Source organism: Homo sapiens, chromosome 7 (genome assembly GCF_000001405.40).
Source record: "Homo sapiens chromosome 7, GRCh38.p14 Primary Assembly".
NCBI classification, from domain to species: Eukaryota; Metazoa; Chordata; class Mammalia; order Primates; family Hominidae; genus Homo; species Homo sapiens.
Window position 1 is genome coordinate 28,481,739 of NC_000007.14, and position 13,497 is coordinate 28,495,235.

The window sequence follows — 13,497 nt, forward strand, 5'->3', positions numbered from 1 at the left end:
CTGATAAAATGAGTATATGCATGTGTCTGTGTGAGACAGACAGACAGACATAAGGAGACAAACACACAAAGAGAGGAGAGAAAGGCACACATGGAGAAATAGACATGCAAAGAGACAGAGGGAAGATGCCCACAGAAAGAGAGAGAGACACACACAGACACACAGAAAGATACCAAGACAAACACAAAGTAATTGATTTTCTTGGACTGAAATTCAAGGTGTTTATTTTTCTGTGGAAAGTTACAATATTCAGGTTTGAAAAATAAAGATATATTTGAAATCCAGAGGACTTACTTTTCTCTTAATTTACAGTTAGCTTCCAATAGTTATGTTTTCACATAATACCTCTTTGAATGGTCCTGTTCTACAGTGTTTTACTACAATGGCACTGTTTTGCAGATGAGCAAATAAGATAATGAAAGATGCAATATCCCTCCCAAAGAAAGAAATTCTTAGCTCCAAATTGCATATGCAATTCCTTCCCAACAGCTAGCCACATGTGGGGATAACCTACCTGCATCCTTGCTTTGAAAGTAGAACCAGGCATCTTTGAAGAAAATAAATCGAGAGTGTGTTTTTGGTGAATGTGTGTTGGGTTATTATTGTGTGTGTCCCCTTGCCCTTCTGACAGATGTATTGAGATAAATATTTGCTTTGTTTCAGAAACACGAAGTGCAAATTGGCCATGGCCTTAACTAATATAATTAATAAACAACATTTGTTCCTAGGAAGAAAGCAGGATTGATGTGGAGTGTCATACAGTGTGACTGACTCAAGGTGCTCCTGTTTTCCAGCTGTTTTTGGTATTTCAGGAAGGTCCAGTTTCCTCCTCTAGAAACCTTTTGAGGTCTCATAAGCTCAACAAAGCAGAAAGATCTGTTTCGTGTGAGTCCTGCCAAGAAGGCTCTTCCCACACTCACAGGAGAGTGATAAATGCTGATAAATGTTGTCAATATCACGAATAAAATTCAAGCCCCCCTTTCAGATTTATAATGCATTCATTTCCAGGTTAACAATATCAGAGGTGACAGGGACACAGCCATATTGTTAGTGCTCACTGATACTCATGATTTCAGTTTGTAGGTTTGAAGTTCCCATAACTTTTGGTATTTATAAGAATACATGCCAGGCTTTCAGATTAGAACAGCCCTTTTAGTGTCTTACTATTTATTATTGCAAATTCCATATCACTGTATGAGTCCATCTGCTGTGAATGGAGGAAACTTGTGCCATCCCACTAAGATTAGAGTTTGATGTTAACTAGGGATTAGTAATGGCTTTCTACAATTTACATGGGCAAACATCACTCTTGGCTGATTACAGCAAACCAGATGATGTCAATTTATCCCCCCTCTGGGCTTAGTTGTTACCCTTAAGTTTACAATAGGTATTTACAGTATATTGTGTAGGCTGTCCACGTTTCAGTATCATTTGCTTTTTGCAGTGTTTGCCTTTCATGAAATGGTATTTCCAAGTATATCCCTAAATGGCTGGCAAAGCATTTGAATGGATTGCATGAGACATTGTGGACGATTTCCCATTTTAGACCAGGAATTTGTGGGGTCAGACACTGAACAATGAAAGAGATTCTTGCTCATTGCGAGGCCAGAGGAATCCAGTGGCAGTCGAGGGTTTGAATTGTAAATCAAGCTTGTCATCTCTTTGTCAACCATGAAAAACCTCAACTCACTTTATGTGCTATTAGGATTTGTTATCAGAGTTTTTTTGTTATCTTCCTCAAATTTGAAGGAAATTAAAATCAGGAGGCATTTTTTTCTAGTTGACTGTTGATGCTGAATTTTGGAAAAGAGGAACAAAAATGAGTACCGTTTAGAAAATATTAAATGATGAGGCAGCATCTGCCACAATTATGACAGTGTCTAACCAAAGGTATCGGACTACTCAGAGTCTTTCAAATGTTGCTTCATGGGGGTCATACTCAGCCCACATGTGGTTAATAGACTGGACTTTAATGATGCCAATGTCCATGGCAACATTAACAGACAATTTGTAATGAATTAATACATTTACTTGTGAGATTGAATAAAATTAGATTCACTCATTGTTTCTACTGAAAGCACCTTTGACTTTTTTCCATGAAATCTGGAGAGATTTCTTCTCTGGCCATAACTGTCAACAGGTAGACTGAGTGATCCCCAAAACTACTTACCTCACCAATAATTTGATTCAGGGCAAACAGTGTTTGAAAACCACTGCCTCAGGAGTAGAGAATGGGCAAGCTGTTTGGGGCAGTGTATTGTGATGATTCAGGATCATTATCCATTCCACAAATATTTATTGAATGCCTACTATGTAAGCTCTATGCAGTGGAGCCTAGGGTATGGCAGTTGCCAAGCAAAACTTGGTTCATTAAAAAATCCAAGCCAGTAAAACAACTGAATGGGAAATGAGAGGATGAGGACTCAGGGAGAACAGCCTCGTTCAAATCCTGTCTGAGTAATTTGCCCCCACCTGATGAATGGTTAAAGAATCTATGCAGGGCTTTATTTAATAAGAGTCTGTTTGAGAGAATAATTATTACAATATGTGCTAGAAAAGAACCATAATAATAGACCATAAAAATAAACCATGGCTCTTGACTAATACACTAGACCAGATCATACTCGTTGATAAAAGTAATAAAGCCTACATGGTAGAGAGGTACCATTTAGAAAAACTATTGCAAACACCTACACAGAAAGGAATTAGCAAGAGAATGCTGTTTGCAGAGGGCTAAATGTGGGAACTGCAGGGCATCAGAATAAAGCAGTTGAAGTTCACACACTTACAAATACACACCCACTCACTTCAGACCTTATTAATCACTGAAAACTTATTTTAGCAACTGCCATTCCACTTGAAGACTTTTATTCCAGTATTACGTTGCTAAAACATATTTGGTCCATGGGATCCGTGGCATGTAATACATTGATACAGACTCACTTATGTTGTAAAATAAAATAGTAACATAACAATTGTAACCCAGTAGAACCTATCAATGACTAAACTCTAAGTGATTTGAGGACAGACTGTATTTCTCAACTTGTGTCTTCTGAGGCATGATTTCTTATACTGACATATCTCAGTGGCTAACAGATTAGATTGCTCATATTCCTCTAAACATATCATCCACATCATGAAGACTCAATTAAGACAGTAGAATCTATGTGGCCGAGCCTTTCGTTGTCTTCAAGCACCAGCATCATCCTGTAATTCTAAGGTATTTGCTGTAGCTCATATGCAAATGCAGCCATTAATTAAGATAAGGCAAACCATGTTGATATCGGACAGAATTGCCAAAGTATTAGCATTATGGGCCTGAATTTCTGGGGAATGTCAGTACTTTGGTAGGCCAGGGCTTGGGATGGAGTTGGGATTACGGTAGAAAAATACTTTTTCCTCATACTTAAGTGTCTGGGCTTGGTCAATCTCTTCCCTACTTTGGCTTATTAATGAATCTCTTTAAACTTTCAGCAGTAGCACTTCCAGTCTTGATCATTTCTGTTGCTTGGACATGAATCTAATTGTTATCATTAATGACCACTTTCAGATGTAGGCCATAAATGTGCGTATATGAAACTTTCTCATTTTACTGTCACATCATCTAATGTTACCTGGTAAGAATAACATTCTACAGTAGCAACTAAAACTCTTAAGTGGCATCCAAGAAAGACTCACCTTAGGCAAATAAAATAGTACTTTATATTTTATAATTTTATAAATAGATAATATTTAATATTAGAGTGAAGTTTCGGTAACACTTTCCCAAAAAAACCCTCCAAACAACACACAAATATACAGACATCTCTCCATAATTTGAAAATATCTACCAGGCCCCATAGCCAATATGACAAGGAATGCGGTTGCTGAAGTTTGGTCTTTATACCCCTCTTATTAAGGTATGGACCTTAGGCATGGAGCAATTAAATGATCTGGCAATGGTCAGGCAGATGAAAGCTACAGAGACAGAGAAGTTCCAGGAAAGCATTTAAACGAATTTACTAGAAAACTAAGATGTAGTTAATTAATGGATAGCCCGACAACTCTGTTGTTTATTTTGTCTTGGATCAAAATCATTTTCTCAGCTTTAAAGTCACCTCTTATTTTGAGACTTAGTAGTACCTTCTCAGTATTCACAGTGGGGAAGAGAGATGCTCTACAATCAGTGATGGCAAAATCAAATGAACAGTGAAATGTGAGAAGTTATTTTAATTGCTCAACACTCCCCAGACAAGGGCAAGCAGAAAGATCCCAAAGATATTTGTGTCTAAATATAAGACAGTAAAGGATTTTGAACAATATGCTTAATACAGGAAAGCTATAAAATTATGGTAATCACTGTATTCATGGGTGGCCAAATGGAGAGTGAAAATGCATCGCTCTGTGAAAGCTGGATAATTGTGAGAAATAGTGGTTTGAATAGGTTTACATTTTAAAATTTCCTTTATATTGCTTTAAAATATCTGACTGACAATGTTATCTCAGGCAAGTCTTTTCACTTTGTGCTTCAGAAAAGTGAAAGTATATATATATTTTCCCGAAGAATATTGTCAAAAACATTAGTGTTTGTGGGGGAAAGCTGTGACAATATACAAAGTACAGTATAATTGGTTTTGGTTGAAAGATAGTGAAGCTTCCTTCAGACAAAGGGTGATTATTCTATGACTCCAAGCAGAACTTCCTATTTCAGGGTCCAAGGTGACTTGTGAATCCTATTGGAATCACCTACAAGTGGCATTTTAAGAAGGCAAATTACTTCCTGTGTGCACAGTAGAAGTAGTAGGTTTTAATTCAGTAATAGAGCCATATACTGTTAGCAGCAACGTACAAATCGAACTCTAAGAAAGGTACAAAAAAAAGAGGGGGGGTATGATATAGAAAATTATTTAAATTGTGTGACTTAAATAACTAAACGTGTATCTCCTATGATTTTATATATATATATATATATATATGTTACTGTGTGGATTGGTAACCACAAAACCATGTATGCTATACTTACATTGGCTTTTGGGAGGATTTGCAAAGGTAATTTTGACTACATTCAATTTTTGCCTAAGGTATGCACCTTAGAATTGAACTACAGCAGGGTGTGGTGGCTCATGCTTGTAATCCCAGCATTTTGGGAGGCCAAGATGAGAGGATTGCTTGAGTTCAGGAGTTTGAGACCAGCCTGGCAATACAGCAAGACTTTGTCTCTATTTTTATTTAAAAACAAAACAAAACAAACAAAAACTGAACTGCTACATAAGAAAAGACTACAGTATAATTTAACATGTGTCTGATGTTTATTTTTGAGACGGAGTCTTGCTCTGTCACCCAGGCTGGAGTGCCATGGTGCGATCTCAGCTCACTGCAACCTCTGCCTCCTGGGTTCAAACGCCTCTCCTGTTCCAGCCTCCAGAGTAGCTGGGATTACAGGTGTGCACCACCACGCCCGGCTAATTTTTGTATTTTGGGTAAAGATAGGGTTTCACCATGATGGCCAGGCTGGTCTCAAACTGCTGACTTCAGTGCCGATTACATTAGTGATCCAACCGCCTCAGATTAGATTACATTATCGATCCAACATTAGCGATCCTCCTGCCCCAGCATCCCAAAGTGCTGGGATTACAGGCATGAGCCACCATGCCTGTCTGATTATAAGGTTTTTTTCCTGAAAGCTACCTTATTCCAGATGATGTATTTGGATCAAGGGGCAGCAACCTTAATCTGCTGTTAATTTCAAGTCAGCTTATAAAGCCAAATTAATGAAATATCCAACGTTATGTTTTTGGCATTTTTGGATTTCTACTTACTCCTGCGTACTTGGATAACTTTTGTTGAGGCATATCAAATGCCTGAGATAAGAGGGAATTGAGGACCACGGTTCGCCACCAGAATCACTTGCTAAGCTGGTGCCACAGCTACTTTGTAGTCCCTTGGGAATGCTGAAGCTTGCTGGGGTGGTTGTGGGTGTCTCATTTCACCTGTTGCTCAGGGGTAGCATTTTCATACTGGCAGTTACCCAGTGATTGCCATTCCTCTTGCTGTCCTAAGTAGCAAATCCCAAAAGCTTTCAGCAGGACTGGACAAGGGTTGGTGTACACTTTGCCTGAGAACCTTCTTGCATAGGTGTGGTCTTTCCTGGTAGTAACACCCACCAGGTGGTTTTCCACAGGGAGGATTTCTGCTGCTACCTCCCCATAGCAGTTTTCTTCCAAGTACAGTCAGTATGCACTCGAGTAAAGGACAGTAGGAGCCCAGCCTAGGTGAGCCCAAAGAACTACAGCCAAGCAGGGCCTGTGCTCACTCACATTAATGTTCTGCTCATCTAATTTTGGTATTGGCATAGAAAGGGGGCTCTGAGTGATTGCCTTTCTCACGTTGCTCAGGTAGAAGCAGAAGATATTCATGGATTTCTTTTTCCTTCCTCCCTTTCCCTCTGATCCTTCAGATTTATGAGGAATCCAAGATGAATTTGGAGCAGGAGAGGCCGTTTGTCTGCAGTGCCCCAGGCTGCTCCCAGGTGAGTGTGCGGATCCTCCCTGCTCTGACATGCAGGGCCTGCTTTCCGAAAGGGAAGCAACTCTCACCCGGCAATCATGCCTGCCCTGGGCTTTCCTTCTTTACCAAGACACCACCAAAGTCCCCCTCCCCATCAGTATCGTGATCATCATCATTTTCATCGCCATCATTATATTCTGTTTTGAATGGTTTGAAATACTTCCCTCTTATGCCCTGAAAGGTAGCAGTGTTAGGCATTTCTGCCCTTTACTTCCTCCTGGAAGCAAGCCAGGTGTATCCTGCCCACCAAATATGCAGGGCCATCATTTCAGAAAGAGGGAAGGAGAGTGCTTACTTTTACAAAAGCCACTTGAATATACTGGCTGGGCTTCGAGATTACTGATGAAATAGCTTAACACCATAGGTTAAATTTTATTTTGTTTTGTTTTCCAATTTGAGTAAAAAAACCCCAAACTCCCTATAACTCTTCTAGAGTCTACAGTTTTCCTACGTATGTGAACTTTAAGAGGATAAATTGTCCTGCTGTGTTGGATTAAATCTCTTTTAGCCTCTGATGGCTTCCATCAAGTGGAATTAGTGTGGGAATTCGAAGAGATACTGCTGGTAGAGTGTTTAACATAGGGTCTGCACACAATACGAGCTCAATTATTGTCCACTGTTGTTACTACTATTGCTGCTGCTGCTGCTACTATTATTATATTGGAATCTATCTCTTTGAAAGAAATTAGAAACATTCATCACCTAAAATCAGAGTTTTGCACTTTACCTTTGGAAGGTGACAGTGACTTTTTCTACTCTTGACCCTTTGGGTGTCTCCACATTCTAGTCATTGGAAAATAACTACACGTGGTTGCTGTCATGCCTAGATCTTCATTCTGTGGGATATAGGACAAGTTTGGAACCCAGAGCACAGGGGTCTTTCAGGTGTGGCGAGTTACAGTCTTTCCCTCACTCTCCTGCCTGTTTATGTGGTGGGGTTGGCAGTAGAGCATGGAGCAATGCTTAGCAGTCAGATGAGAGCTTGATAAGAAGGATTCATTGAGGACCCTTCTTTTTTTTTTTTTTTTTTTTTGAGACGGAGTCTCGCTCTGTCGCCCAGGCTGGAGTGCAGTGGTGCGATCTCTGCTCACTGCAAGCTCCGCCTCCCGGGTTCATGCCATTCTCCTGCCTCAGCCTCCCAAGTAGCTGGGACTAGAGGTGCCCGCCACCACGCCCGGGTAATTTTTTGTGTATTTTTAGTAGAGACGGGGTTTCACCTTGTTAGCCAGTATGGTCTCGATCTCCTGACCTCATGATCCGCCTGCCTCGGCCTCCCAAAGTGCTGGGATTACAGGCGTGAGCCACCGCGCCCGGCCGGACCCTTCTTATTAACTTCCCTAGAGAGTTTATGGAGGATTCTGGGAGCCTTTTGGAAGGAAGAGGCCATAGAAATAAAAGACATTGTTGCTGGTGTTATCAACCACTAACTGAACAACCAGAGTCCTTTGCTCAGGTTCTAGAAGTTTCACCAGGGGCTTTGTGTCAATGTTTATTTCCAACTTATAAATAAGAAGAGCAGTGCAAAAATTATTTTGAAGCAAACTGGTTTGGAGATGATTTTGAAGTAGAAAACACTAGGAAAAAAACAGAGTGATAAGTAACTGGTAAAAATCCTGCTAGACCAGGACTCTTCATTGTGGATGCAGAATGTCACTCTACTAAGTTACTAGAGTAACTAAATTAGAACTTAATTCCTAAGGTAGAGCTGATTCCCATTCAGCTTCTTTGAAGAGAAGTCTTGATAGCCAAAGGGAATCAGATAATTTGAGCAGTTTGCTTTGCTTTGGTGGTGAAAATGTCACATTACGTTTGATTCAACTCAAATTTCTCAACACACTTTTTGGGAGCCTACTATGTGTCAGGCAATCTGATTGCTCTGGGGAAACAGTAATCACAAGACATATGTGTCCGTGTCCTCACAGAGATTCTAGTTTAGGAATCAAGTCTATAATCACATGATCAGTAAATCAGTTAATTAGTCAATTGCAATTTTCCATGAAGGAAGGCCATAGGCCACCTTGAAGAGTATAATACAGGGATTAAGTTTACTTGGGGAGGTAAATGCCAGTCTCCACTAAGGAAGGGGCATTTAATGGAATGGGACTCTCCAGAGACCCAGCAAAGGCAAAAGAGGGTTCAGGGTGAGTTAGGATTCCCAGCAACCTCCAGGGTTGTGTAGGACAGTAGAGGAGAGTGTTTCAAGGAAGGGGCTGTAAGCCATATCTAATATTTAGGTAAGTCAGAGAGAAGAGAGCTGCACATTAGTCATTAGACTGTATGGCAGAATTTTCCAAGCTTGGCACCGTTAATATTTGGGGGCTGGATAATTCTGTGTCTTGGGTAGCTGTCCTGTGTGTTGTACGACGTTTAGCAGTAACCCTGGCCTCTACCCACTAGATCCCAGAAGCATTCCCCACTTGTGATGACCAAAAATGTTTCCAGACATTGCCAAATGTCCCCTGTGGGCCCACATTGCCCCTGGTTGAGAATGACTACCCTCTGATTTGCATTTTGGCTTTAGCCTTCCTTTCTTTTCGATCCCTTGTCTTTGGGGATCATCTACTTCTAATCTATGTTCTCCCAAACTATTTTATGTATTGCTGTAAACCCTTCTTCTTTTTGGCAACAGGCAGGGTAGAAAGAAATGAATGCCACAGACGTGTGGTCACTGGTGTCAGGCACCGCTAGAGCTGGGACAGCTAGAGGCCTGGGCAGAGGCTGTTGGCTTTGGCAGCTGGGTGCTCGCCGGCAACCTATGAGAGGGGAACGGGGGCGGAGGCCAAACTGCAAGGGATTAATGAGTGAGTGGGTGGTGAGGAAGCGGAGGTGGCAAGCATAGAGAACTCTTTCAAGAGCACTAGGCAGTGACGGGAAGCGGAGTGATATAACGGTAGCCTGAGAAGGAAACAGTTTTTTTAAAAATTAAAGGATAGCCGAGCTGGAGTTTGTCAAGAACAAGAAACCAGTGAGACAGAAGGGGTGAGCATGCTGGTTTACACGGCTAATCCCCAGAAGATAAAGGGTGTAGACAAACCTGGGGAGGAGTGGGGGTGCCAATTCCTCTGAGAAAGGAAGGGTTGGAAAGAGATTCAAGGAAGTGACTTGAAAATGCTGAAGTAGAGGTGGTTAATTAAGGTTGAAGGGAGTCCATTTTGAATGACCTTGAACTTCTTGGTGAAGGAGCAGGTCATTTCCTTGAGAAGGCTGAATGGACTGAGGAAATGGTTGGACAGACATGGAAATTGGGATTGACAAAGTTTCTTGATTTTAAGGAACAATTCCAAGCTTCCCCCACTTCAGATTTAAATGTAAAGATGCTTCTAAAACTCGATGTCTTCATTTAATGTGGAAGTGTATTTTTTCCTTGACAAGCTGTTATAAAAATATGTGCATTTTTCAATGGAAGAGGTGTTAGAATTAAGAAAATGTAGCAGTCACCCAGCAGTCACAAAGGTCTCCTGGGTTATTAGAAACTCACAGTCAAGCCAATTGTTGTGGCCATGGTGTTTACTTTAGGGATGTCCTACAGCCTGGGAACCTGCATGGAGAAGACAGGATGACTGAGAATTGGAAACGGGAATAAATATAAGTTATCACTGCTTGCACTGTGCTAGGGGTGAAGAAATGATTTTTTTCTCCTTTTCCCTCATGGGAAAGAAACTTAGCTCTGTTAGGAATGGCCTATAATACGTGGGAGGTTTTTTTGTTTTTTGTCTCGTTTTGTTTTGTTTTGAGATGGTGTTGCACTCTTGTCGCCCAGGCTGGAGTGCAATGGCACGACCTTGGCTGACTGCAACCTCTGCTTCCCAGGTTCAAGCGATTCTCCTGCCTCAGCCTCCTGAGTAGCTAGGATTACAGGCACTTGCCACCACGCCTGGCTAATTTATTTATTTTTAGTAGAAATGGGGTTTTGCCATGTTGGCCAGGCTGGTCTCGAACTCCTGACCTCAGGTGATCCATCCGCCTCGGCTTCCCAAAGTGCTGGGATTACAGGCGTGAGCCACCGTGGCCACGTGGGAGATTTTTTATGTTACCGTTTCTTCGACATTATCTTTGTCTCAGAAGGAAGAGTTTCTCTTGCCCTTTGTAATCTCACAGAGCTCAGTGTTAATTTCACTCTCTCTTTGCCTTCTAAATGAACCACGTTCTGAATTCCAGTGGCCTTTCTCAGCTCTGTCTCTATTGCAGACTGTATATTTTTGTTATTTGCAATTTGCTGCTATGTTCCTGCTGAATTAAAAAAAATCACGATGTCCTTTATTGTCTCACTTGGAAGGTAATTATAGTCAGTATGTGGTATTATGGAAATAATTGTTATTTAAGAAGTATTCTGGTTCATATCCTACTTTAGGCTATTATTTTATAAAGTCAAAAAATGGCTTATAGATATGAAATGAAGGCTATTACCATGTTGTGTATTTTTGTATATACAAATATATATATAAAATATAGTATATTTAAAATATAGTGTATATATAAAATATAATATTTTTATAGTATATTTGTGTTATATACGCATATAAAACAAAAATTATAATTAGTTGTTTGACGGAAAGACTAGGCAACTCAGTCTCTAAATCACACGTGGTAGTGCTATGTATTTGGTGCAGTCATTACACAGTGTTATAGACCAAAAGAATGGATGAACCAGTAGCAAAAAATCATGTCATATAAAGCAAACTTCAGTGTATTCAGAAATCTGGCATAATTACCATGTTTTGCAAAAGCCAATGCTTTCCAATTTATATAATACAAATGACAAGTAAATAAGTGATATTTATTCAGAGAGCTACTTTTAGAATATTTTGTATAATTCAGCCCAGGGAATTCCTTCATTCTCATGAATACAAATCCATGCCATTTGCAGAAAACATTTCTACCCTAGTAAACAAAGGTAATTAAAACTTATATTGACTATCCTGAGGAATTAGAAAGCTCTGAAAGATTTCTAAATTGTTGAAGATTTGGAAATGTTCAGCAGAATATATCATCCTCTGTTGTATTTTCATTTGACATTGATAAAGCGGATATTCTGTTAAGTTCAGTTACTACAAACATACCAGTCTGAGGCAGGATAGGCTAGGATCTGCTATAATAACAAATTACCCCAAAGCTTCAGTGGCTTAGAGCAACAAAGGCTTATTTCTATTCCCCAAGGATACATTTCTATTGTAGATTGGCAGGAAGTTCTTCATAATCCTTTAGAATTCAGAAATGCTTTTCATAATGCCTCAGAGATTTAGGATGATTGGGTAGCCACTATTTCCAATATTGCTAGTTGCCATGTTAAAACAAAGGGGAAGGGGGAATGCTAGAGTGTCTTACACCAGGAATTAGATGCTGGCCCCTGGGTGACATGTCACTTTCATTCATTACTCAATGGGCAGAACTAGTCACATGGCTTCATGCAACCACAAGAGAGCCAGAAAATTCAGTCCCACCATGTGACCAGAAGTCAGACAGCCAAAAACATTTGGGAGCAGCATTTTTGATAACCATAATATCATTCCCTGAAAATTAAAAATAAGCATTGGTTTATTACATTGTACAGAACATAGAATACTAAAAATAATTTGTCATGTTACTCTAAAATCATATGTGTAATTTAAAAATATCAGATAATAGGTGGGCAAGGTCTTCATAAATGGAAATATACTGTACAGATTTCACAGTTACATTTGTAGATACATATGTCAAATAATTAGGCATGGCATGTAATTCTTTCCCAAAGTCTGACTTGAATCACGATTCTCTTCTTTCATCATGTATATCTCCTATTTTTGGTTAATCCATAGATAATGTCTAGCATACTTATCATACCTTAGACTTAACTTTTACACTGTTGTGTAAAACATTAACTACATTTGAAAAGTTCCAAATGATTTTGCAAAATTCCAGTGCTACTGAGGTCTAAATTCACTTTCATGTTTTGCACATGGTTTTCTCATATGTATAAGAAGAAATGGAAAAATTTTAACTCGTCATGCTGCCATTATTAGTTATTCTTCATGACCACAAATAAGCATTCATTTAAACACTTATTTTTTGTAAAATGCTGCCTACTTAGGTAGGCATTAGGACACAGCTCATTTTTTTGTATATATATGTTATTTTAATACCTTCAGTATTGTTCATTTACTTCTTCCTGTTTTATTCCTTAAATACAAAGTTTAAAGTGCAAACCCATAGCTCCTAAAGAAATATATAGTTTAGTGATTAATCAGCATAGTTGGATATATCCAGGGACTATCTAAGAAGTAGAGTGCTTTCAAAAAAAGTTCCCAGGGAAGGTATAGAAGGCAAAAATTTTCTGCTTATTATCAGTACTCAGCCAGATTTTTCTGCAATTGTAGTTAACCCCTTTGGTAAACTTTAATGAAAATTAGAATGCATATATTTGGGTGTAATTTAAAGGAACATCCCAGCACATTTGCTTGCATAAAAAAGCTTTGCAACTTCACTTACTCATGCTTTCACACTTTTTCGAAATGTTTTTTTTTTTTTGTTTTGCCTGTCATGTTTGCAATGCTAAATAAGTCTTTTTCTCAATAATGGTAAATATGTTTTTTAAAACTGAATGGCTCCTCTTCTCCCCTCCCTTTTTTTTTATTCGTCCGACAGCGCTTCCCAACAGAGGACCATCTGATGATTCATAGGCACAAACATGAAATGACTTTGAAGTTTCCTTCAATAAAAACAGACAATATGTTATCAGGTAAGGAGCCATCAGGAAAAGAAGCTTTGGGTGATCAGATCTGTTCCATGCGAGATACTTGTTCTTCTTTTGGTAGGCGAGTCCCACTGGTAAATTGTGCACCTTGAAAATACACATTTCTAAGGTATAGCAGAAATATAATCAGGTAATATTCACCCAAGTGACTGAAGAGCGGCAACTTCTCATTTTCTAGATATGAAATATGTATTACTATGCAACTTGGCTCTATATAAGTT

The 13,497-nt window shown here is 39.4% G+C and overlaps 1 protein-coding gene across 11 annotated transcripts in view; it reads left to right on the forward strand.

The window, feature by feature from the left end:
• CREB5 (cAMP responsive element binding protein 5) overlaps positions 1 to 13,497 on the forward strand; it is a 526,574-nt gene that overhangs the window by 182,418 nt on the left and 330,659 nt on the right. For 9 of the 11 annotated variants that reach the window (XM_017012807.2, XM_017012808.2, XM_017012806.2 and 6 more), the window contains 2 exons: positions 6,437 to 6,508; positions 13,168 to 13,261. In XM_017012807.2, the coding sequence (XP_016868296.1) occupies positions 6,437 to 6,508; positions 13,168 to 13,261 (166 nt within the window). The remainder of the gene's footprint in view (positions 1 to 6,436; positions 6,509 to 13,167; positions 13,262 to 13,497) is intronic. The other 2 variants (NM_182899.5, XM_024447005.2) reach the window with 1 other exon arrangement.